Genomic DNA, 25,867 nt, shown 5'->3' on the forward strand with positions numbered 1-25,867 from the left:
CACCTTCTCGTCTATTTGCCTAATATAGTGTTGATGTTTGTTTCCACCCAAATCACTGGGGGTTGCATTGTAACCCCCAGTGCAGGAGGTAAGGCCTGGTGGGTGATGCATGGGAACAGATCCATCATGAATGGCTTGGGTCATCTCCTTGATAAGTGAAGTCTCACTCTGAGTTCATATGAGATCCAGTCATTTAAAAGTGTGTTTGACCCAGCAATCCCATTACTGGGTATATACCCAAAGGATTATAAATCATTCTACTATAAAGACACATGCACATGTATGTTTATTGCAGAACTATTCACAATAGCAAAGACTTGGAACCAACCCAAATGCCCATCAGTAATAGACTGGATAAAGAAAATGTGGCACATATACACCATGGAATACTATGCAGCCATAAAAAAGGATGAGTTCATGTCCTTTTCAGGGACATGGATGAAGCTGGAAACCATCATCCTCAGCAAACTAACATAGGAACAGAAAACCAAACACCACATATTCTCACTCATAAGTGGGAGTTGAATAATGAGAACACATGGACACAGAGAGGGGAACCTCCCACACCAGGGCCTGTCAGGGGGTGGGGGGCAAGGGGAGGGATAGCATTCGGAAAATATCTAATGTAGATGACAGTTTGATGGGTGTAGCAAACCACCATGGCACGTGTATACCTATGTAACAAACCTGCACGTTCTGCACATGTACCCCAGAACTTAAAGTATAATTTTTTTTAAAAAAAAGCGTGTGGCTCCTACAACCTAACTCTCTCTCACTTGCTCCTGCATTTGTCATGTGGTGTATCTAATCCCCCTTCACCTTTCACCGTGATTGAAAGCTTCCTGAGGCCTCCCTAGAAGCTGAGCAGATGCCAGCATCATGCTTCCTGTCCAGCCTGCAGAACTGTGATCCAATTAAGTCTCTTTTCATTATAAATTACTCCTCTCAGGTATTTCTTTTTGTTTGTTTGTTTGTTTATTTTATTTTATTTTTATTTTTATTATACTTTAAGTTTTAGGGTACATGTGCACAATGTGCAGGTTAGTTACATATGTATACATGTGCCATGCTGGTGTGCTGCACCCATTAACTCGTCATTTAGCATTAGGTATATCTCCTAATGCTATCCCTCCCCCCTCTCAGGTATTTCTTTATAGCAATACAAGAATGGCCTAACACAGTGTCTGTGTCAAATCTCCCTCTGCCTTCCTTTTATGTGATCCCATTTAGGGCCTACTCAGGTAATCCAGGACAGTCTTCCCAAGGCAAGATCCTTAATCCCATCTGCAAAATATTTGCCATGTAAGGTAACATTTACAGATTCCAGGGTTTAGGACTGGATATCCTTGTCTACTACAACCTTCATACCTACTCTTTTAGACTTTTCTCACCATCTCCTTCCCCTCTATTCCATCTGAGGTCTCCACCTCATATTTCATTCAGAAAATAGAAATAAAATCCTTCATCTTCCCACCACCAAATCTGCCTGCATCCTTGCCTAACTGATACCTCTCCTTCTCTCCTATTAGAGTGGAAGACATGTCCCTCCTGCTCTCAAAGCTCAGTTCCCCCACTGGGGTTCCTCTCTTCATCACTCATCTCTTTCTCAAGGACTTCTCTTCTTTAATATCTCTTTCTCTCTCTCTTTCTCTCTCTCTCTCTCTCTCTCTCCTCCCTCCCTCCCTCTCTTTCCTCATCATTTCTCTCTCTGTCCCCACTGGATTATTTCCAATAGTATTAGAAGAGGCTCGAGCACTTTTTATCTTTAGAAAATCTTCCTCTTGACCCCACACTTCACATCCCCTCCCACTCTACCTGATTTCCCTGCCCCTCTTTTTATGTAATTTCTTTTTTTCTTTTTATAAATCAAATTTTTAATTGAGAAATTTGTAGATTCACAGGCAATTGTAAGAAATAAAACTTAGCAATGTCATGTACCCTTTACCCAATGGTAACATCTTGCAAAATTATGATACAATATCATGACTTGGATATTGATATTCATATAATCAATGGATCTTATTTAGATTTGAGCAGCTTTTTGTCCTGTGCATGTGTGTGCACGCACGTCTATTTAGTTGTACTTAATTTTATCACATGTATAGGGTCATGTATCCTTCACCACTGTCAAGATACAGAGCCATTCCATCATCACTAGGATCCCTCCAGTTGGTTGCCATTTAATAAACACGCCCCCCCTCTCTCATTCTTTCCTGACCCCTTTCTCCTTCTCATCTCCTCCCCACCCAACTTTCTTTCCCTAAGCCCTGGAAACCATTAATGTGCTCCTTTTGTAAAATTTTATCATTTAAAAAATACATATATGCATGTATATATGTGTGTGTGTGTGTGTGTGTGTGTGTGTGTGTATTTGAAATTATACAGTATGTAATCTTTGGGGATTGATTTTTTTCACTCAGCATAAATTCTGAAGATTTATATAATTGTAGCTAGTATCAATAGTTCATTCCCTTCTATTGCTCAGTAATATTACACAGTATGGGTGTATTATAGTTTGTTAACCACTCACCTGTAAAAATAATATCTGGGTTTTTTCTACTTTTTGGCTATTACAAATAAAGCTGCTATGCATATTCATGCATATTTGTGTATAAGTTTTCTGTGTGCATGTAAGTTTTCATTTCTCTGTAATAAATGCCTAAGAGTGAAATTTCTGAGGTGTACTATACATATTTTGTTTTATAAGAAATTGCTTAACTTTTTCAGAGTGACTGTACCATTTTACATTCCCACCCATGCATACCAACAATGTAAGAGTAATTCAGTTTCCCTGTAACCTGCTAGCATTATGTCTTGTCACTAATTTTTATTTTAGCCATTCACATAGATGTGTAGTGATACTGCATCGTAATTTATTTTTTTTTTTTTTTTTTTGAGACGGAGTCTCACTCTCTCACCCAGGCTGGAGTGCAGTGGCGCGATCTCAGCTCACTGCAACCTCCGCCTCCTGGGTTCACACCATTCTTCTGCCTCAGCCTCCTGAGTAGCTGGGACTACAGGCACCCGCCACCACGCCCAGCTAATTTTTTGTATTTTTAGTGGAGACAGGGTTTCACTGTGTTAGCCAGGATGGTCTCCATCTCCTGACCTCGTGATCCACCCGCCTCGGCCTCCCAAAGTGCTGGGATTATAGGTATGAGCCACCGTGCCCAGCCTGCACTGTAATTTTAATTTGAATTTTTCTAATAGCTAATGATGATGAACAACTTTTTTTATTATCTCAACTTTTATTTTAGGTTCAGGGAGTGCAGATTTGTTATTAGGTTATATTGCATGATGTTGAAGTTTAGGATACAGATGATCCCATCGCCCAGTACAGAGTATAGTACCCAACAGTTAGTTTTTCAACTCTTCCCCCTTTCACCCCCTCCCTCCAGTAGTCTTCAGTGTCTATTATTGCCATCTTTATGTCTATGAGAACCTAATGTTTAGCTCCCCCTTATAAATGAGAATATGTGATAGTTGGTGTTCTGCTCCTGCATAATTCACTTAGGATAATGGCCTCCAGCTCTATCCATGTTGCTGCAAAGGACATGATTTCATTCTTTTTTATGGCTCTGTGGTACTTCATGGTATATATTACTACATTTTCTTTTTCCAATCCACTGTTGATGAGTATTAGGTTGATTCTATGTCTTTGGTATTGTGAATAGTATTGTGATGAACATATGAGAAAATGCGTCTTTTTGTTAGGATGATTTATTTTCTTTGGATATATACCCAGTAATGGGATTGCTGAGTCAAATGGTAGTTCTGTTTTAAGTTCTTTGAGAAATCTCCAAACTGTTTTCCACAGTGGATGAACCAATTTACATTCCCACCAACAGTGTGTAAGTGTTCCCTTTTCTCTGTAGCCTTACTACTGGTTGTCTCCTCAATCTGCTCTAGTCTAGGTTCCAACCATCATCCCAGGAAATGTCTCTTGTCAAGGCCACTGATGGCTCCCACGGTTACTTTACCAGTCAGTAGAACTCATAATGGTGGCCACATCTTCCATCTTGCACAATATTTCTCTCTTGGCTTCTCTGACCTCATGCTCTCCTGATATCCCTTCTACTTTTCCTTCTGCTCTTTCTTGAACTCCATTCCTACTCAAACTCTAAATGTTGAGGAATCTTAAGTCTCAACTTCAGGCACTTCTTTATTCTCTACCCTCTTTCCCTATATAATTTCAACAATTCTTTTGGAGCTAAATGCAAGTATTAGGTTATTGACTCTGAAACTTTTGCTCTTGCCGCATTTCTCCTCTGAAATCCATAGGCAAATATCTAAATTTTTTTTGAGACAAGTTTTGCTCTTATTGCCCAGGCTGGAGTGCAATGGCATGATCTTGGCTCACTGCAACCTCTGCCTCCTAGGTTCAAGCGATTCTCCTGCCTCAGCCTCCCAAGTAGCTGGGATTACAGGCACCCATAACCACGCCCGGCTAATTTTTGTATTTTTAGTGGAGACAGGGTTTCAACATGTTTGTCAGGATGGTGTCCAACTCCTGACCTCTAGTGATCCACCCGCCTCAGCCTCTCAAAGTACTGGTATTACAGGTGTGAGCCACCACACTGGGGTGCAAATATCTAAATTTTTGCTTGACATCTTCACTTGAACATCTCACACACAACTCAGATTAATATCCCCAAAGCAGAATTTACAATCTCTCTATTCCACCCTCTACCTCATCTTACTCTTCTAATTAGCCATTCACCCAGGAAAATCATGGGAAGGTAAGAAGAAATAAAAGAAGACAAAATAAATTTATGTGATAGAGATGGCACTGCCCAAATGTTTATAAACTGTCCACACAGTCATTCAGGATTCAGGCACCTTCCATCCCGTGGTTCCTCCATCCCCTTGGGCTTCAAAGTTCTTTGAATCCAGCCAAATGTCCTGAGAAGAAAGAGTAGAGAACACACAAACATTTCTTAAAACCCTAGCCCAGAAGAGGAGTATATTATTCCACTCACATTCTGTTGGTGAAAACTAGTCATGTGACCCTGCCTTGATGCAAAGGCTTCTGGGAAGTGTAGTCTCACTGGGCAGCTGCCCACTGTGTAAAGAGGAGCGCAAATTTGTTTCGGACAGCTAGTGGTCTCTCCCATGGCCAATTAAACCACAGAATGCAGGACTGTGGTTGATCTGAGGAGATTAAAAATCTGAGAAATTACCATTTTTTAAAAGAATTTTTTGTGGGAAGAAAGAAAAGAAAGAGAGGATAGAAACAGTAAATGAGATGTTGAAGTATTACAATCTATTTATAAGAGGATTTCTTATCCCACACTTTCCCTAGTCAGCTTACCTGAAGTCCCTGACTTAGGTAAGTGAGTAGTTATGAAAGGCAGAATTTACAACATCAATGAAAGAGTTACTTTTAGGCAGGTAGGACATAGGAAGATACCGGGTCACACCATACAGAAGTCTCCTACTTTGCCCAAACAAAGGTGTTTTGGCTGTAGAATTTCTCCTTAAACTCATTCTAGTGGCACTGACTATCCAGGCCCCATCTGAATGCTCCCTGAATTCCTAACTACTCAGCCTTAACTTTCTGAATTCCTGTGGGCTGTATCTCTCTAGGGCATGAACAAGGCAACTGCTCCATGAGACCACCATAGAAGATAAACTAAAAAATGGATTTCTACAAACTCCTGCCAGCATTTTGAAATGACTGCCCAAACAAATATGTTCTGACAGTTGCAAGAAAAGGATAAATAATAGATTCAGAAAAAAAAAATATCGTCAGCTAATTGTTCTGTGAAACTCTCTTATGTTCTCCTAGGTGTCTGTTACAAATGAAGTTTTTAGTAAATGTAGTTTCCAAAGTAGCCTGACATCTCACCTTGGGATGTGGCAGCTTTGTCTAATGAGCTGCCAGAGAATGGGATGGCAGGCAATGAAGAATTGAGTGCTCTAAGCCTTCCTTCCTCTTCCTTCACTTTACGTTGTTATTATGCAGAAGTGGGTCACGAACATTAAGAGAACTTTATTCAAATGTGGTGATAGATCAGCTGACAAAGTATATGCCTGGCTTGGCGAAGGCAGAAAATCACAAAGTCATCACAGAGTATGGATCATAGAGGGCACATAAATGTCACAAACGACGACCATATTAGCAACCACAAGCCATTCTGCCTCTGAGAAATTTGAATTTCCAACAGAATCAGGGAATTTGGACATTGGCCACACCACAATAGAGAACATGGGCTGGAGGGGTAGGACATGGGGGTAGGTGGTGACATGTCAGGCAGAGAGCAGTGGAGTCCCCCATCCTGAAATGTAAGTGTCTAAATCTTCTTCAGTACAAAATTTTTGGGGATAATACAGCTCTAATGAGATGCTCTGTATCTGATAAGAATAAACAGCTATTGGCAGTTTTCCACAAGTCAAAGTGGCCTTGGGACATGTTCTCACCCACTTAGTTGCCACGAAGACTTCCAACTATGTTACCATGGAGACAGCTTAGAAATCAAAGATATGACTTAAATTATTAAAGCCTACTAATCTAAGGAGAAACCCTGATAATTTGAATAGTTTTCCATTTAGACTGGCAATACTTATCTTGGAGCAAAAGAGAAATTAACATATTTTCTCAAAAGTTTATGAACTGTGACACTAGGTTTATCTCACTATATTTATTATTAGTCTAGATGCAGAAATTGTATGGTGCAGTAGCTTACGTAGCTTCATCCTGTCAGTTTGTCAATTTATATATGTATGATTTATAAGATATACTAGAGGATATAGTACAGAGTTGCACATCACAAATGAGTTAACTACCACAGCCCCGCCCCCAAATAATCAATGTTCTATTCTGGTACAGTGTCAGAAGATGGCATACTAATAACTTGTTGGCAGAAAGGCCTGCCACTTAACTAATATTCAGTACAGCTGATGTCTTGTTAATTAAATATTGTCATGACCATAGGATAGAAGGTTTCTGCAGGGTAGGCCACCCTGTTCCAAGTTTATTCCACAGGGATTCAGGAAGCATTCAGATGGGACCTGGGTAATCAGTGCCACTACAATGAGTTTAAGGAGAACTTCCACAGCCATACCTGTGTTTAGGCCAAGTAGGAGACTTCTGTATGGTGTGACTTGGTATCTGCCCAAGTTCCACCTGCCTGAAAGGAACTCTTTCATTGATGTTATAAATTCTGTCCTTCCTAACCACTCAGCCTAAAATCATAAGCTGAGAGTCATTCTCTTACTTTGACAGCAAATTTACAAACAATGTCTCCAAGGAATGGAAAAATGGAAATCCAAACCCAAAGAAGTCACTTTGGTTGTTGACAGAGAAGACACAAGATCACCAAACAGGTATCGTGGGCCAAAGCAAACCCTCATAAGACCCAGCAAGCAATAATGGGGAAAAAGAGGTTCTCCTTTCAGAGAGAAAAGGCAGCAGAAGTGGCTTGAAGTTTAAGGAATCTTTATCTCCCAAGCCTTCTCTCTTAAGAAGAGAATGAGAGTTTACATGCAGTGAAAATTACCTATATTTACTAAAACTGGAGGGAATCCATTCCTCTAGCATCCATTACTCCTCTGACAGCCCCCTCCTCCTCTTCCTCTCCCTTTCCACAGATCCCTCAATCTGCTTCTCATGTCTATCCACCAACTTCAACACATACAAATTCTGGAAAAGAAAAAAATCACAAGCAGTAGGAACTTCCAATATCCATTATGCCTCTCTTCCTTCCGTAGACAACCCCATTTTTATTTGGGAAGAAAATATGCCCAGTAAAAAACACTCACCTCCCAAGACTCCACTGCAGCTCAGAATGGCCATGGAACTCGGTGAGATAAGAGCAGAATAGGGATGCTCTTGTTTTCCTCATTAAAAAGGATAAGAACTTGTTGGTACAAGCCTTCCATTCTTGCTCCTCCTCTTCCTTCCTGCTAGTATCCAGGCACAAAGCTGTAGAGAAAAGGTTAGAAGAACTTTGCTATTTTCTTAAAATCAAGAGTGGGAAAAGCATGTCCTAGGGATGGTAGTGGGAGGTTAAAAGGAAACTTGATCCTTGAGGTTTCCCTTGAGGAATGAGCCTGGACTGCCACCTTTAGACTAATAGTTATATGAGAATAATCAATCTCTCTTTGAAATAAGACATTAATCAGTTTTATGCCACTAAAGATGATCTTGTTTGATATACCATGGCTGCTACTGAACAATGAGGAGACAAATAATGAAATATGAGGGAATGACATGAGAATAAAAGCTTGAAAATAGTGGGAGGAAGCATGGCTTCTGTATCAGTCAGAGCTCCACAAGAGAAAAAGAACCAATGGGAAATATGCATTAAGAGATTTATTGCAAGGAATTAATGACTGTCGGGGTTGGCTAGGCAAAGCAAAATCTGCAAGGCAAATTGTCGAGAAGGGTAGGCTGAAAACTCTCAGGCAAGAGCTGATTCTGCAATCCACGAGCAAGTTGTGCCTGGTCACCATAATGCACAGCAAAGCCAAAGCAGTATTCATATAGTCTGAGATCTTCATTATTGGCTAGTTGATCATGGTAACCCTAGAACTGAAATATAAGGTCAGCCGACTAAAATCTTACTTGATCTGTATAGGAGGAAAGCTCTAGAGATAGTGAACAGAAGTCTAACTTGAATCACCAAAACAGAGTCACAGTCCCTCACTCAATCCCCAGCTTCAGCCAGTTGATAGGCCCAGATCTCCTTAAATAAAGAGGAGGCCAGATCCTTCTAAGAAGAAATCCTGCTATGCTTCCAAAAAAGTGCCTGTATACTATTAATCTTCTCAGTTGTCCCAAAATGTACCTGAAGCCATTTACTGGAGTAATTGCACATTGAGGAAGGGGAAATAATCAGGCTTTCTAGGGGTTTACCAGATACTGACTCTAAACTGTCACTAATTCCTGGAGACCTAAGTGTCACTTCTCTATCACATCACAGCAAAAGAAGCTTGTGGAGGTCAGGTGAATGGAGATCAATGGAGTTTGGCTCAGGTCTGTTATAGTAGGCCCAGTGAGTCTAAACACAATGTATGGTTTTTACACCATTTCAAGAAGGCGTAATTGGAATAGATATGCTTACAAACTGGAAGAATATCCGCATTGGTTCCCTGACCATGGAATAAGGCTTAGTACTGTAGGAAAGTCCAGTGGAAGCCACTAGAACTGCCTTTACTTAGGAAAATAGTAAACCAAAAGTCATACCATTCTTGTAGAAATTGCAAAGATTAATGCCATGATCAAGGACTTAAAAGATGCAGGGGTGCTTATTCCCAACTCCTAACACATTCCTATTCAGCTTGACTGTTTGGCTTCTGAAGAAGGCAGGTCTTGGAGAATGACAGTGAACTATGACAAGTGTAATTAGGTGGGGACTCCAATTGCAGCTGTTCTTCCAAATGTGGTTTCATTTGGAAACACATCCATTGGTACTTGTTATGCAGGAATTTATTTGGGAAATTATTTTTTTTTCTAGATCTATTAGTAAAGACCATCAGAGGCAGTTTGCTTCCAGCTAGGAAGACAGGCCAAATACCTTTAGTGACCTACTTCAGTGGTATATCAACTCTCCAGACCTACGTCATGATCAAGTTTGCAGGGACCTTGACTGCCTTTCCCCTCCACAGGATGTCCGTTACATTGATGATGTGATGTTGATTGGTCCTGGTGATCAGGGAATAGCAACTACTCTAACTATACTGATAAGATACTAATAGACCAAAGAATAGAAAATAAATTCCACAACAATTCCAGGGCCTGCCACCTCAGTGAAATTTCTAGAGGCCCACTTGTCTGGGGAATGTTGAGATAGGCTTTCCAAGAGAAAGACAGTTGCTGCACTTGGTCCTCCCTGCCAATAAGAAAGAAGTATAACACCTATTAGCCCTCTTTTGATTTGAGGGGCAATGTATACCTCAACCCACTTACCAAGTGATCCATAGGAGCTGCCAGTTTTGAGTGGTGCTCAAAATAAGCGAGGGCTCTGCAACAGGCCCAGGCTGCCATGCAAGGTACTCTGCTACATGGCCTGTACAACTCAGCAGATCTGGTGGTGCTTGAAGTGGCAGTGGCCCATAAAGATGCTGTTTGAAGCCTTTGGCAGGCCCCTATACATGAATTTTAGTGAAGATCGTTAGGATTTTGGAACAAAGTTATTCCAACCTCTGAAGATAATTACACTGATCTTGAGAAACAACATTTGGTTTGCTGCTGGGCATTGGTAGAGACTGAATACTTGTCCATAGGATATCAAGTTAACATTAAACCTGAACTGCGCATCATGAACTGGGTGTGTTCTAACTCACCCAGTTATAGAGATGGGCATGCACAGCAGCACTATGAGGTCAGGCTTAAGCAGGTCTTTAGACACAAGTCTGACAAGAAATGATCCAGATGCCCATGGCCTCAATCATGATACATTATATTCTCTCTCTCTCTCTCACACACACACACACACACACACACACACACACACACACACACACACACAATATCTATGGCCTCTTAGGGAGTTCTCTATGATCATTTGATTGAAGAAAAAAATCTAAGGCTTGGATTACACATAGTTCTGCGCAATATGCAGTTACCAACCAAAGTGGAGAGTTGCAATATTACAGTCCCAATCTGGAAAAACCCAGAAGGTGAAGGGAGGTTCTTCCAGTGGGCTGAACTTCAAGCAATGCACCAGATTGTTCACTTTTCAGGAAAGAGAGATGCCCAAAGATACACGTCTATACCAATTTATGAGCTGTGGCTAATAAATTGTTTGGCGGGATGGTCAGAGACTTGAAAGAAACACAACTAGAAAACTGGTGGCTAGGAAGTCTAGGAAAGAAGTATGTAGAGAGATATGTTCAAATGAGTAGAGTGTAAAGATATTTGTGTCCCTCATGAATGCTCATTAAAAAGTGACCTCAGGGAAGGATTATAATAATCAGGTGGGTTGGAGGGCCAGTCTGTGGAGGTTAGTCAGCCTCCTTCCCTGCCATTCCTGTCATTGCCCACTTGGTTCACAAAGAGGCCATGGAGGCAAGAATGGAGGTTATGCATGGGCTCAGCAACATGGACTTCCACTCACCAAGGCCAACCTGGCTACAGCCACTGCTAACTGCCCATTCTGCCAAGAGCCAGCAACTGCGTGAATGAGGTTGGAAACAGATCCTCCCACGGTCGAGCCTTGAGGTGACTACGGCCCTAGCCAACAACTTCACAACAACCCCAGGTCAGACTCTGAGACAGAACTACCAGCCAAGCCGCTTCTTGGTTTCTGATCTAGAGAAACTCAGATATAATAAATGTCTGCTATTTGAAGATGATAGTCTTAAGCTAGTTTGTTACACAACAATGATAATATACACCCAACATGAATAAAACCTTGTCCAGGAGTCTCAGATAACCCAGATGTGATAGTGATAGGAATCTCCAAGAGAGAACACTCACTGCTTTCCTTATTTTAGTTTTCTTTCTTGGTACTTTTTTAAAATTCTTATATTTACATGAAAAGAAGAATCATGCCTTATATTTGCCACTGAATAGCTGATTTCCAAAAATTACACATTCTTTTTTATCTATTTCCCTAGAAAACTACATGTAGGCATTAACAGTTGGGGGGAAAGGACTGTTGCCCTCTATATTCTTTTTTTACCTTTCATTCAAGCACTATGATAATGATAGGGACTTATTTAAAAAAAAAAAAGAAACAAAGAAAGAAAAGAAAAAGAAAGAAAGAAAGAGAGAGAGAGGAAGGGACCTGAGCCATAGGGACAGTTGTGTGATGTCTCTGACCCAGTATCAGCCATGAAAAAATAGAATTTATGATGGATATTACAGTTAAAATAGAGAAGTTATAAAATTGTGACAAAATGGGGAAGAACAGGAACATCTCCACTTCTATTTTTTGCTCACCAGAATTAATTTGCCCTTCCTGCAGCACAGAGCTAGGCCACCTCTGAGTGACCAACAACTCTGACCTGAAATCAAACCCAACTTCCACAGCTCTTGTAACCAGGAAGATTTTTTAATTCATGTGTGAGTCCCTACTCACCTGACACTCAAAGAGGAACTGCATCCTTTTGAACAGATTGACTTCCAGGTGTAAATCTATATATTTTAATGGCATTTTTGTTATTGTTGCTGTTCAGAGAAAGATTAATTCTGTGCCCTTGCAACATAATTTTTCTCTTGGATTTTCTGACAATGAAAATAGGCCCTTAGAGAACTCATCGCTGTGGACAGGTTTCTTTCATCAGAATGCCATTCTTCTTTCTCTCCTCACTAGTAAGATACAGATACTGCACCGCATTCGCTTCAGAAACAGAATCCTTGTCTCAAGTCTTTAAGATTTAATCTATTTCATTTTCCATCTTAAGTCTGCAATTATTCACTACAAATCACTTACACATAACCCTTGGTCATTTTATTCATTTCTAGACGTTAAGAGATCACTCTGATTTTTACCTCAATAGTACTCTACAGGAATTTACTTTCATTTTAAAATGATGCATACTCTTCACTGTGGCAGTTGTCACCTCCTTGCAAAGAATGTATTAAACTACTCATTGGCAGGATCTTCAAATCTAGTGGTACCATGTTGCTGGTGAGCTAAAATTAATTTGCCAGGTAATGAGGCAATCTTCTTTGCCCATTTCCCTAATTAATATTTTCCATATTTAATGGAAATTCTGACCTCACCTTTCTGCCTTCCTCTAAGCAAATGATTACAGGCAAAAAAGCTGACCTTGGGTCTTCAAGACCCAGTTTTCCAAACTCTCCAAACTCCACTCGAAGTCATCTGACCTTGCTCTATTCAAGATGGGTTAGCGGAGACGCTGCAGCTACACTACCAGCTGAGGCAGCTGCTGCATTAAGATTTATATCTTAGTTAAGATAAGAAACAAAGCTGATAGTTGCTTCAAAGCTTGGAGCAATGTCGAGATAGAAATCACAGAAGAGGGTAGGTCCTCAAGAGATATAATTTCTTATAATTATATTTATCATATACAGATAAAAACATGGTATATTACCTTCCTGGGGTTTCAGTAGCAAATTACCACCAACTTGGCCACTTGAAACAACAGAAATTTACTCTTTCACAATTCTGGGAACCAGAAGGCTGAAATCATGGCATCGGTGGGGCTGTGCTCCCTCAGAAATCTCTCCAGGAGGCTCCTTTCCTGCGTCTTCCAGCTTTTGGTGGCTTTAGGCATTCCTTGGCTTGTGGCTACTTCACTCCAATGTCTTATTCCATGGTCACGTTGCCTCCTCCTCCTCTCTGTGTTTTCACTCCTATCTGTCTCAAATCTCCCTCTGCCGTTCTCTCATAAAGACATTCATCATTCGAATTAGGGCCAACCTGAGCAATCCCAAATAATCACCTTATCTCAACATCCTTCATTTAATTACACCTGCAAAGACCCTTTTTCCAAATAAAGTCACATTCATAGCTGCCAGGAGTTTGATATGAATATCTTTCGAGGAGTCATTTTTCAGCTGACCACACGTGGGTATATGTGAAAGTGCAGACGTATGCACAAAGGAAACCAATTTCTGCAAGTTGAGGAATGGAATATTGAGTCAGCAAAACATAACCACAGCAATTTAGCATTTTGTTTTGTCTGCTTTGTGTTTATCATAAGTGATTCTGCGAGAATACAAAACTGCAAAAACTTGATCCAATTTTCAAAGTGCCACAGTAAAATAAAATACAGTTAATGCTAGAATCTTGCTAATTGCAACAGAGAGAGAAATAAGAGAAAAAAAGAGTCTGTGGGCATATGAGTCAGAAAGAATGGGATTTGAATCCTGGCTATGCTGAACTCCAGACCTATATCCATGCATAAATTAACTTGTTTTTTTTTTTTACTAGGAAATAAAGATAATACATCTTATGATAAAAACAATAGTTTAGAGTGATGCATGAAGAGGCACACTAACCACTAAGGGAGGGTCTCGCAATGGTCCGGGACAGTAAGGAGATTCAGCAAAAGATTCAGCACCTCCTTGTTAGCACCCTTAGGTATGTTATACTTTCTACTTTACTGCATCTTCACAATAATGCTAAGATATAGCTGTGTCATCCACAATTCAGAGGTGAGTAAGGAGGCTCAGAGAAGGTAACTTGCCTGAAGTCTTGCAGCTATTAACTAACACAACTTGAATCGAAATCCAGGTCTTTCTAACCACAAAGTCTATAGAAATGAGAAAAAAAAATAGATAAGGTTGATAGAGAAAAGCTCAATATCAAAACAATCAAATACATATTCAAATGTTGCCTTGACATGTTGACTATACCCAATGCCTAGTGAGAGGTGCTGAAACACATAGGAGGGTGAATAAGGCACAGAGCCTGTCCTCAAGAAGCGTCACCCAACTCTGGCTACTGAAAATAGACTAAGATCAGTCATCTGATTGCTTAACTATGAAGCAGTAAAGTCCAGTCCAGCATCAAATTGAAAAATTCTTAGCTATCTCTTACCTCAAATCTGAATATCTAGAAGCAGAGCGTTCTAAGTGCAATACCAGCATAAGGTTATGGCTTTTCTGCATTGTTCCAATTCCACAGGGTGTTCCTACCTTGACCAGAACCTGCTACCATCTTAATCCCCCCTTCCCCCAACCACCTACCACCACTCCAAAGAGAGGGGACTCAAGCAGTGGTCCTCAGTTCCAACCAGTGAGCCAGGCAACCTCATATACTTTGCCTAGTACTTGTCAATTCCCTTGAGAGTTGTAACCAGCTACTGGTTCTTCTTACTTGGAAACCAAACCCATATTTTAGACAGGATTGGGGTACCCTGGCCCTTTTAAAGTTCAACCTGGTTCCTTGGATAGTGAGACTGCCCTGGATTTGATTGAGGTTTTCCCACATTCATTCAGTCTTCGTTGTAAGGAGACAAGGTTCCTGTCATTTCTTCTGTCCTGAAGCTTTTTCTATTCCCATTGGCCAGCCCTGCCCCAGCAAATGAGCAGAGCTGAATGACAAATCAATGAGCTAAACAAGGAGATATACAGCAAATGAACAAAATGAGCAAGATGTATAACAATGGATTAAATGAACAAGAGGCAAGGCATGGTGTCTCACGCCTGTAATCCCAGCACTTTGGGAGGCCAAGGTGGGTGGATCACCTGAGGTCAGGAGTTCAAGGCCATCCTGACCAACATGGTGAAACCCCGTCTCTAGTAAAAGTACAAAAATTAGCTGGACACGTGTCATGCACCTGTAGTCCCAGCTACTCGGGAGGCTGAGGCTGGAGAATGGCTTGAACCTGGGAGGCAGAGTTTGCAGTGAGCTGAGATCATGCCACTGCACTCCAGCCTGGGTGACAGAGCAAGACTCCATCTCAAAAAGTAAATAAATAAATAAGATATATAATAAATGAATGAAATGATTGGGGGGTATATGGCAAATGAATGAAATGAATGGGGGTATATATATGAATTAAGGTAATCAGGAGCAGACAGTATTTGGAGGTCTCAGTGGGGGCAGAGAGCTGTACACAGGCTCAGGCAGGTCCCTGGGCTGCAGCTGAATACCAGTCAGCTCGAATAAAGGTAGGGTAAGCATTCAAAAGAGCAAAGTATTCCTGTGAATGAAAAATAAGCTAATTCCTAAAGGAGAGAAGGACATGTTAAACTGTTCGGTAGATGCTATTCCTGACTGTATTGATTTTATGTGTGGGTTTTTTTTTTTCTAACAATACTAGAGAAAGTGACCCCAAGATTCTCAGAATCAATCATGGCAAATCTCAATAGTGTTCTATTCCAGGAAGTGGTCTGACCCAACAAAGGTTTGTTTCACATGCAGACTCAATCGCCTAAAATTTATACCGCCCAAAGCACTGAGCCTCCTGTGATTCTGTCAGTGGTAATTTTCTTGAGTTGTATAAGCTTCATTATTAACAAATCCAAAGAGGAAGAAAAACAGGTGCAGGGTACATCTATCCTGTCACATTTCACAGACTGTGGGTTTAAATCACCCAGATGCTTACACATAATCACAAAACAGTATTTATAGCTGACTCCAAAGCATTCAAAGGCTGATGATCCAGTTTACAAATTCGACTACCCTGTTCCATCATTTTACCTACTTTCTTTTCATTTCAGTGCTTGTCATTATCCCCAAGTATTAGGTTGGCAAGAAGAAAAAAAAATAAAACTCAAACTAGTCTATTAAGAACTTAAGGTCTCAGTGAAGATGGCTGGTAAGGATTAATGCAATTGACTAAGATGACATTTTTGGATTATGTGTGTATTTCAATCATCTATGCTTTCCCCAGGCCAGTTCATGTCATGAAAATTGATATTCACTAGCATAGTCATGCCTTCCAGATCCTCCTTACCCTGAGAGTTTGTACGTAGGCTCTTCTCTACTTATAAGATGCAGACGTGGAGAAATGGCATGATTTAGGATTACAAAAAGATGGAATTATGCTAATCCCACACCAAAGCCAAGAAGAGCAGGAATGGATTCACACCCTGCTATTCCCATGACCTATGGACCATTGAAAACCACAACTCCTTCCCCAGTTTACTGAAATGTCTTGAAGGCTTTATAAAGGGGGCTTTTCAGGGACAGCATCTGGGAAATGTCACTCAAGGTGTGTCAACATCATCCTGCTCCCTGGGAGGGACAGCACATTTGTTCAATACAAATGCGTATTGTGTATTAAGAGACTTCGTCTTTCCTGTTTATTTCCTTGGCATTTTCCCAGGCAAGTGGGTCAGAGGGTGAACTTTAAAGTATGATTTGATTACTGACATTCTTGGATTTTTGGTTGTCAGGCATTGCTTAACTCTTGTTACCTCGTGCCCTCTGTGTCTGCAAAGTGGTGATTTAGTTCTGACTCACTTGATACACAGGGAAGATAAAAAGGATGATCACAAAACTGCCTTTCACTTAGCACTTACCAAGAATTTGCCATTTACAGCAACATATCAGGTTCTGTGTGGCTTATTACATGAGATGGTCACAACAAGGTACAACCAGGAAACACTTCTTTTTTCTCCCATTGCTGGTCTGCTACGTCAAAGCTTTCTGTTCCATCCCTGGACAAGAGCTCAGGCAGCTCCCACCACTTTCATTCACTTTAAGACTCACTCTTAGATATTGAAAGTCCAGTAGAGTCATATCAAAACACCAAGATCACATTTACAACTTTCTCCTCCCCTTTAACCCAGGCCTAGCCTGCAGGTCAGACAACTACAGTAGGTATAAGGGTGCCCAAACTGGTCTCTCATGTCTTTTCTGCCTTTCCTTCTCTATCTTCCTTCTCTCTCAGCCTCATAGAGCCAAAGGGGAAGAGGAGCAAACTACAGAAACTCCCCCTGAGATCACCCCAGCTGGACATCAGCCCTCAAGTGATGAAGACGTCCATACTTCCAAGGTTCCCCGCAGCTGTGTTGAGCTCTCAGACCTGGGCAAGGGGCTCTCTGGCCAGCCTCTTTCAATCTTGCTCTAATAAAGGCAGGAGGCAGACAAATGCCTAGGCAGCTAGGGAAGGGTCTCGGGTGAGACCCCCGCTTCAAGCTTAAAGCAGCCTGAAAGCTGAAAGACCAGAGTGCTGGTTCCGGATGAAACCTGCAACCCAGAGGGAAAACTTCTGCCCCTGTTTGTCCACCCTTTCCCAATTGATTCTTTCTGAATAAGGCCTTTCAACCAATCAAATGCTGCCTTTTCCAATACTATCTATGGCTTGCCAGGGCGTGCCTGCCTGAGCACTGGGGGAATGGGATGGAGCCACCAGGAATTCATGCCTTATGCAAGGGAGGAGTGGCCTCTTTAGCGCGTGTGTGGTAGCCCTGATATTCAATTAGGGAGGTGAAAACCTGTTGGCAGGACCTCCCCTCTTTTGCCAAGAGCTTTTTTTCGCTTAATAAATTCCATCCTTCTCACCATTCAATGTTTCTGCATGCCTAATTTTTTCTAGCTGTGAGACAAGAACACACATTTAGCTGAACTAAGGAGCAAAAATCCTGCATCACCTCCATCTCCTATCCACAGCAGTCAAACCCCCAAAAGATCTAACTGTAGGTGATCTTTGGAAAGGATCTCATCCAGATGGCCCTGTTACTTTGGTCCTTGGGAAATCAGCATTGCTATAAATCCGCCCAGGTACAGCCCACCCACCCTCTGCCTCTGTGGGCTACTTCAGATACCCTCCTGCCTTCAGAACTTGCAGGACACAGGCTTCAGTCTTAATGTCACATCTGTGGACACATGAGGTTTCCCAGGAACTCCCTCTCCATGCTCCATACAGATGGTGACACTCCCCAACAGACCTCCCGCCAAGACTGAAGAACCAGTCCTCCCTTCTGTAGGCTGCGGGCACTGCCAGTCTCTACAGGGGTCCTCCTGGGAGGTCTCACTTGCTGGAGGAGGGGAAGAGTTGTTGGAAACACCCTGAGAAAAAGGGCAGAGATCTCTATTTATGTGGACTCCTTCCAATAAAACCCATTCGAATTTCTTTTCATTTCTTTATAAGCTGAAAATGCGGCCAGGTTGGGGGTGCTATTTGCTGGATCAGATTTTCTATCTTTTAGTAAGACTGGCTTGGATGTGTCTATTACTTGTCTTTCCAAATGTGAGGATACTTATCCCCTAGTCTAAGGTTTTGGACTTTGATAGGGTTTGGCTGTGTCCTCACCCAAATCTCATCTTGAATTGTAGCTCCCATAATTCCTGTATGTTGTGGGTGGGACTCAGTGGGAGATAATTGAATCATGGGGGCAGTTTCCTCCATACTGTTCTCATGGAAGTGAAGAAGTCTCATGAGATCTGATGATTTTATAAGGGGTTTCCCCTTTCACTTGGCTATCATTTCTCTCTTGTCTGTCACCATGTAAGATGTGCCTTTCACCTTCTGTCATGATTGTGAGGCCTCCCAGCCACATGGAACTGTGAGTCCATTAAACTTCTTTTTCTTTATAAATTACCCAGTCTCAGGTATGTCTTTAACAGCAGCGTGAAAACAGACTAATACAGACTTCAACCAAATTTTGGAGATTGACCTTCCATTGACATTCTATTACACATCTACCACACATGTAAAATCCAGATGTCCACTTCCCTTTCTTGCTCAGATTCCAGCCTCCTAACATATAAGGATAAGCACAGGCTTTATACAGCTGTGAGTGGCTCCTGAGGAGCTGTTCTCAGTATCAAGACTTCATCCTCCATCCCTCCTAACCCCCAGCATGAGCAACTTTTCACAGCACTAATGGCCATGTGCAGAAATCCTGACTGTCAACTCAACAGGATGAGGCTTCCTCTCCAGGATAGGAGTGAGTCTTCCATTTCCCCGCGGCTGTTGCAAGAAGCTATACCTTCATGAATTTCTTCACTAAAGGGTTAGGACAAGTTTTAAAAAGGAATTACAACATGGAGAGAAGGAGAGGCTGTTTTCATTAACTACTTCCAGAAGCCAGAGGGAAAGTCCCCAAGGAAATGAACACTCCACAAGAGGATCATTCATGGATACTCCACAGATCCTACCTGGCTGCCCTGCCCTGCAGTTCCTACTTCTCTCTCTCCCAGTCACCTCTTTCTGCAAGTGTCCATGTGTGAATTCCACCCATCTCTCAGTGAAATCATCCCTATCCACAGAAAGGAGTCTCACTCTCCTGGATCTTACAGAATCTCTATTTCTGCATAGTATGTTATAATATAAAAGTCTTTCCAACAATGAGAAAACTGTGATGAATCATATACTAAATATCTGTGCATCCTCCTCCAAGCTTTATCAAATCTAAACACTTTTGCTATATTTACCTGTGATTCTTTTTCTAAAAAGTAACAATATTTTACAAAAATAATTAAGTCCCATAATCCTAACACTTCCCACCCCATGCCCTCCTTCCTCCCTCATCCCCTAACTAGAGGAAACTGCTTTAGGGATATGATGTTTTGCCTCATGCATTTTTCTCAAGTCTACACTTTTGGGGCTGGAGAAGTCTAGGGTTTGCTTTCCCATGATGCCAGCAGGATTTCCAAGCTCCTCAAAACATTTCAAAGTGGGGAAAAGTGGTGGAATCTGGCTATCCAGACACCATCGTATAAAGTGAATATGGGTCTTCCAGGATGAGTTTCCCTTTTCCGCTCCTTAACTCATTTATTTCACACATTCATTATTCACAATTAGTGGATTGCCAGGCACTGTTCTAAACTCTGGGAACATGGTAATGACCAAGACTGAGAAACCCCTCCCCAGAGGGCTTACATTCCAATGAGGGGAGAGGGACAAGAAGAAGATAACTCAACAGATCAGAATATATTAGATAAGTGCTCGGTAGAAAAGGGGGAAGGAGGAGGAGGAGCCAAGGTGGCCGAATAGGAACACCTCCAGTCTACAGCTCCCAGCATGAGCGACGCAGAAGATGGGTGATTTCTGCATTTCCATCTGAGGTACCGGGTTCATCTCACTAGGGAGTGCCAGACAGTGGGCGCAGGATAGTGGGTGCAGCGCACCGTGAGCCAGCCGAAGCAGGGTGAGGCATTGCCTCACTCGAGAAGTGCAAGGGGTCAGGGAGTTCCCTTTCCTGGTCAAGGAAAGGGGTGACAGACGGCACCTGGAAAATCGGGCCACTCCCACCCGAATACTGTGGTTTTCTGACAGGCTTAGGAAGCGGCGCACCAGGAGATTATATCCCGCACATGGCTCGGAGGGTCCTACACCCATGGAGTCTCACTGATTGCTAGCACAGCAGTCTGAGATCAAACTGCAAGGCAGCAGCAAGGCTGGGGGGGGGGGCGGGGTGCCCGCCATTGCCCAGGCTCACTTAGGTAAATAAAGCAGCCGGGAAGCTCGAACTGGGTGGAGCCCACCACAGCTCAAGGAGGCCTGCCTGCCTCTGTAGGCTCCACCTCTGGGGGTAGGGCACAGACAAACAAAAAGACAGCAGTAACCTCTGCAGACTTAAATGTCCCTGTCTGACAGCTTTGAGGAAAGCAGGTGTTCTCCCAGCATGCAGCTGGAGATCTGAGAACAGGCAGACTGCCTCCTCAAGTGGGTCCCTGACCCCTGACCCCAGAGCAGCCTAACTGGGAGGCACCCCCCATTAGGGGCAGACTGACACCTCACACGGCCGGGTACTCCTCTGAGACAAAACTTCCAGAGGAACGATCAGAGAGCAGCATTCATGGATCACAAAAATCCGCAGTTCTGAAGACACCGCTGCTGATACTCAGGCAAACAGGGTCTGGAGTGGACCTCTAGCAAATTCCAACAGACCTGCAGCTGAGGGTCCTGTCTCTTAGAAGGAAAACTAACAAACAGAAAGGACATCCACACCAAAAACTCATCTGTACATCACCATCATCAAGGACCAAAAGTAGATAAAACCACAAAGATGGGGAAAAAACAGAATAGAAAAACTGGAAACTCTAAAAAGCAGAGCGCCTCTCCTCCTCCAAAGGAACGCACTTCCTCACCAGCAACGGAACAAAGCTGCATAGAGAATGACTTTGACGAGTTGAGAGAAGAAGGCTTCAGACGATCAAACTACTCCAAGCTACAGGAGTAAATTCAAACCAAAGGCAAAGAAGTTGAAAACTTTGAAAAAAATTTAGATGAATGTATAACTAGAATAACCAATACAGAGAAGTGCTTAAAGGAGCTGATGGAGCTGAAAGCCAAGGCTCGAGAACTATGTGAAGAATGCAGAAGCCTCAGGAGCCGATGCAATCAACTGGAAGAAAGGGTATCAGTGATGGAAGATCAAATGAATGAAATGAAGCGAGAAGGGAAGTTTAGAGAAAAAGGAATAAAAAGAAATGAACAAAGCCTCCAAGAAATATGGGACTATGTGAAAAGACCAAATCTGCGTCTGACAGGTGTACCTGAAAGTGACGGGGAGAATGGAACCAAGTTGGAAAACACTCTGCAGGATATTATCCAGGAGAACTTCCCCAATCTAGCAAGGCAGGCCAACATTCACATTCAGGAAATACAGAGAACGCCACAAAGATACTCCTCGAGAAGAGCAATTACAAGACACATAATTGTCAGGTTCACCAAAGTTGAAACGAAGGAAAAAATGTTAAGGGCAGCCAGAGAGAAAGGTCAGGTTACCCACAAAGCGAAGCCCATCAGACTAACAGCGGATCTCTTGGCAGAAACTCTACAAGCCAGAAGAGAGTGGGGGCCAATATTCAACATTCTTAAAGAAAAGAATTTTCAACCCAGAATTTCATATCCAGCAAAACTAAGCTTCATAAGTGAAGGAGAAATAAAATACTTTACAGACAAGCAAATGCTGAGAGATTTTGTCACCACCAGGCCTGCCCTAAAAGAGCTCCTGAAGGAAGCACTAAACATGGAAAGGCACATCTGGTACCAGCCACTGCAAAATCATGCCAAAATGTAAAGACCATCGAGACTAGGAAGAAACTGAATCAACTAACGAGCAAAATAACGAGCTAACATCAAAATGACAGGATCAAATTCACACATAACAATATTAACTTTAAATGTAAATGCACTAAATACTCCAATTAAAAGACACAGACTGGCAAATTGGATAAAGAGTCAAGACCCATCAGTGTGCTGTATTCGGGAAACCCATCTCACGTGCAGAGACACACATAGGCTCAAAATAAAGGGATGGAGGAAGATCTACCAAGCAAATGGAAAACAAAAAAACGCAGGGTTTGCAATCCTAGTCTCTGATAAAACAGACTTTAAACCAACAAAGATCAAAAGAGACAAAGAAGGCCATTACATAATGGTAAAGGGATCAATTCAACAAGAAGAGCTAACTATCCTAAATATATATGCACCCAATACAGGAGCACCCAGATTCATAAAGCAAGTCCTGAGTGACCTACAAAGAGACTTAGACTCCCACACAATAATAATGGGAGACTTTAACACCCCACTGTCAACATTAGACAGATCAATGAGACAGAAAGTTAACAAGGATATCCAGGAATTGAACTCAGCTCTGCACCAAGCGGACCTAATAGACATCTACAGAACTCTCCACCCCAAATCAACAGAATATACATTTTTTTCAGCACCACACCACACCTATTCCAAAATTGACCACATACTTGGAAGTAAAGCTCTCCTCAGCAAATGTAAAAGAACAGAAATTATAACAAACTGTCTCTCAGACCACAGTGCAATCAAACTAGAACTCAGGATTAAGAAACTCACTTAAAACTGCTCAACTACATGGGAACTGAACAACCTGCTCCTGAATGACTACTGGGTAAATAACGAAATGAAGGCAGAAATAAAGATGTTCTTTGAAACCAATGAGAACAAAGACACAACATACCAGAATCTCTGGGACACATTCAAAGCAGTGTGTAGAGGGAAATTTATAGTACTAAATGCCCACAAGAGAAAGCAGGAAAGATCCAAAATTGACACCCTAATATCACAATTAAAAGAACTAGAAAAGCAAGAGCAAACACATTCAAAAGCTAGCAGAAGGCAAGAAATAACTAAAATCAGAGCAGAACTGAAGGAAATAGAGACACAAAAAACCCTTCAAAAAATTAATGAATCCAGGAACTGGTTTTTTGAAAGGATCAACAAAATTGATAGACCACTAGCAAGACTAATAAAGAAAAAAAGAGAGAAGAATCAAATAGACGCAATAAAAAATGATAAAGGGGATATCACCACCGATCCCACAGAAATACAAACTACCATCAGAGAATACTACAAACACCTCTATGCAAATAAACTAGAAAATCTAGAAGAAATGGATAAATTCCTCGACACATACACTCTCCCAAGACTAAACCAGGAAGAAGTTGAATCTCTGAATAGACCAATAACAGGAGCTGAAATTGTGGCAATAATCAATAGTTTACCAACCAAAAAGAGTCCAGGACCAGATGGATTCACAGCCGAATTCTACCAGAGGTACAAGGAGGAATTGGTACCATTCCTTCTGAAACTATTCCAATCAATAGGAAAAGAGGGAATCCTCCCTAACTCATTTTATGAGGCCAGCATCATCCTGATACCAAAGCCGGGCAGAGACACAACCAAAAAAGAGAATTTTAGACCAATATCCTTGATGAACATTGATGCAAAAATCCTCAATAAAATACTGGCAAACCGAATCCAGCAGCACATCAAAAAGCTTATCCACCATGATCAAGTGGGCTTCATCCCTGGGATGCAAGGCTGGTTCAATATATGCAAATCAATAAATGTAATCCAGCATATAAACAGAACCAAAGACAAAAACCACATGATTATCTCAATAGATGCAGAAAAGGCCTTTGACAAAATTCAACAACCCTTCATGCTAAAAACTCTCAATAAATTAGGTATTGATGGGACATATCTCAAAATAATAAGAGCTATCTATGACAAACCCACAGCCAATATCATACTGAATGGGCAAAAACTGGAACCATTCCCTTTGAAAACTGGCATAAGACAGGGATGCCCTCTCTCATCACTCCTATTCAACATAGTGTTCGAAGTTCTGGCCAGGGCAATTAGGCAGGAGAAGGAAATAAAGGGTATTCAATTAGGAAAAGAGGAAGTCAAATTGTCCCTGTTTGCAGATGACATGATTGTATATCTAGAAAACTCCACTGTCTCAGCCCAAAATCTCCTTAAGCTGATAAGCAACTTCAGCAAAGTCTCAGGATACAAAATCAATGTACAAAAATCACAAGCATTCTTATACACCAATAACAGACAAACAGAGAGCTAAATCATGAGTGAACTCCCATTCACAATTGCTTCAAAGAGAATAAAATACTTAGGAATCCAACTTACAAGGGACGTGAAGGACCTCTTCAAGGAGAACTACAAACCACTGCTCAATGAAATAAAAGAGGATACAAAGAAATGGAAGAATATTCCATGCTCATGAGTAGGAAGAATCAATATCGTGAAAATGGCCATACTGCCCAAGGTAATTTATAGATTCAATGCCATCCCCATCAAGCTACCAATGACTTTCTTCACAGAATTGGAAAAAACTACTTTAAAGTTCATATGGAACCAAAAAAGAGCCCGCATCACCAAGTCAATCCTAAGCCAAAAGAACAAAGCTGGAGGCATCACGCCACCTGACTTCAAACTATACTACAAGGCTACAGTAACCAAAACAGCATGGTATTGGTACCAAAACAGAGATATAGATCAATGGAACAGAACAGAGCCCTCAGAAATAACACCACATATCTACAACTATCTGATCTTTGACAAACCTGAGAAAAACAAGCAATGGGGAAAGGATTCCCTATTTAATAAATGGTGCTGGGAAAACTGGCTAGCCATATGTAGAAAGCTGAAACTGGATCCCTTCCTTACACCTTATACAAAAATTAATTCTAGATGGATTAAAGACTTAAACATTACACCTAAAACCATAAAAACCCTAGAAGAAAACCTAGGCATTACCATTCAGGACATAGGCACGGGCAAGAACTTCATGTCTAAAACACCAAAAGCAATGGCAACAAAGGCCAAAATTGACAAATGGGATCTAATTAAACTAAAGAGCTTCTGCACAGCAAAAGAAACTACCATCAGAGTGAACAGGCAACCTACAAAATGGGAGAAAATTTTTGCAACCTACTCATCTGACAAAGGGCTAATATCCAGAATCTACAATGAACTCAAACAAATTTACAAGAAAAAAACAAACAACCCCATCAAAAAGTAGGCGAAGGATATGAACAGACACTTCTGAAAAGAAGACATTTATGCAGCCAAAAGACACATGAAAAAATGCTCACCATCACTGGCCATCAGAGAAATGCAAATCAAAACCACAATGAGATATCATCTCACACCAGTTAGAATGGCAATCATTAAGAAGTCAGGAAACAACAGGTGCTGGAGAGGATGTGGAGAAATAGGAACACTTTTACACAGTTGGTGGGACTATAAACTAGTTCAACCTTGTGGA

The 25,867-nt window shown here is 41.6% G+C and overlaps 1 long non-coding RNA gene across 2 annotated transcripts; it reads right to left on the reverse strand.

Moving 5' to 3' along the window:
• Positions 1–3,841: 3,841 nt before the first annotated feature.
• Positions 3,842–13,499, reverse strand: LOC105370196 (uncharacterized). Of its 2 annotated transcripts, XR_941949.3 has the most exons (5): positions 13,006–13,499; positions 9,911–10,089; positions 7,762–7,924; positions 5,849–7,642; positions 3,842–4,902 (listed from the first exon to the last, which is right to left on the reverse strand). It is a non-coding gene; the product is annotated as an uncharacterized LOC105370196 (long non-coding RNA). The 2 variants fall into 2 exon arrangements; XR_007063787.1 differs by lacking the exon at positions 9,911–10,089.
• Positions 13,500–25,867: the final 12,368 nt, after the last annotated feature.

The sequence above is a fragment of the Homo sapiens genome, chromosome 13 (genome assembly GCF_000001405.40).
Source record: "Homo sapiens chromosome 13, GRCh38.p14 Primary Assembly".
NCBI lineage: Eukaryota > Metazoa > Chordata > Mammalia > Primates > Hominidae > Homo > Homo sapiens.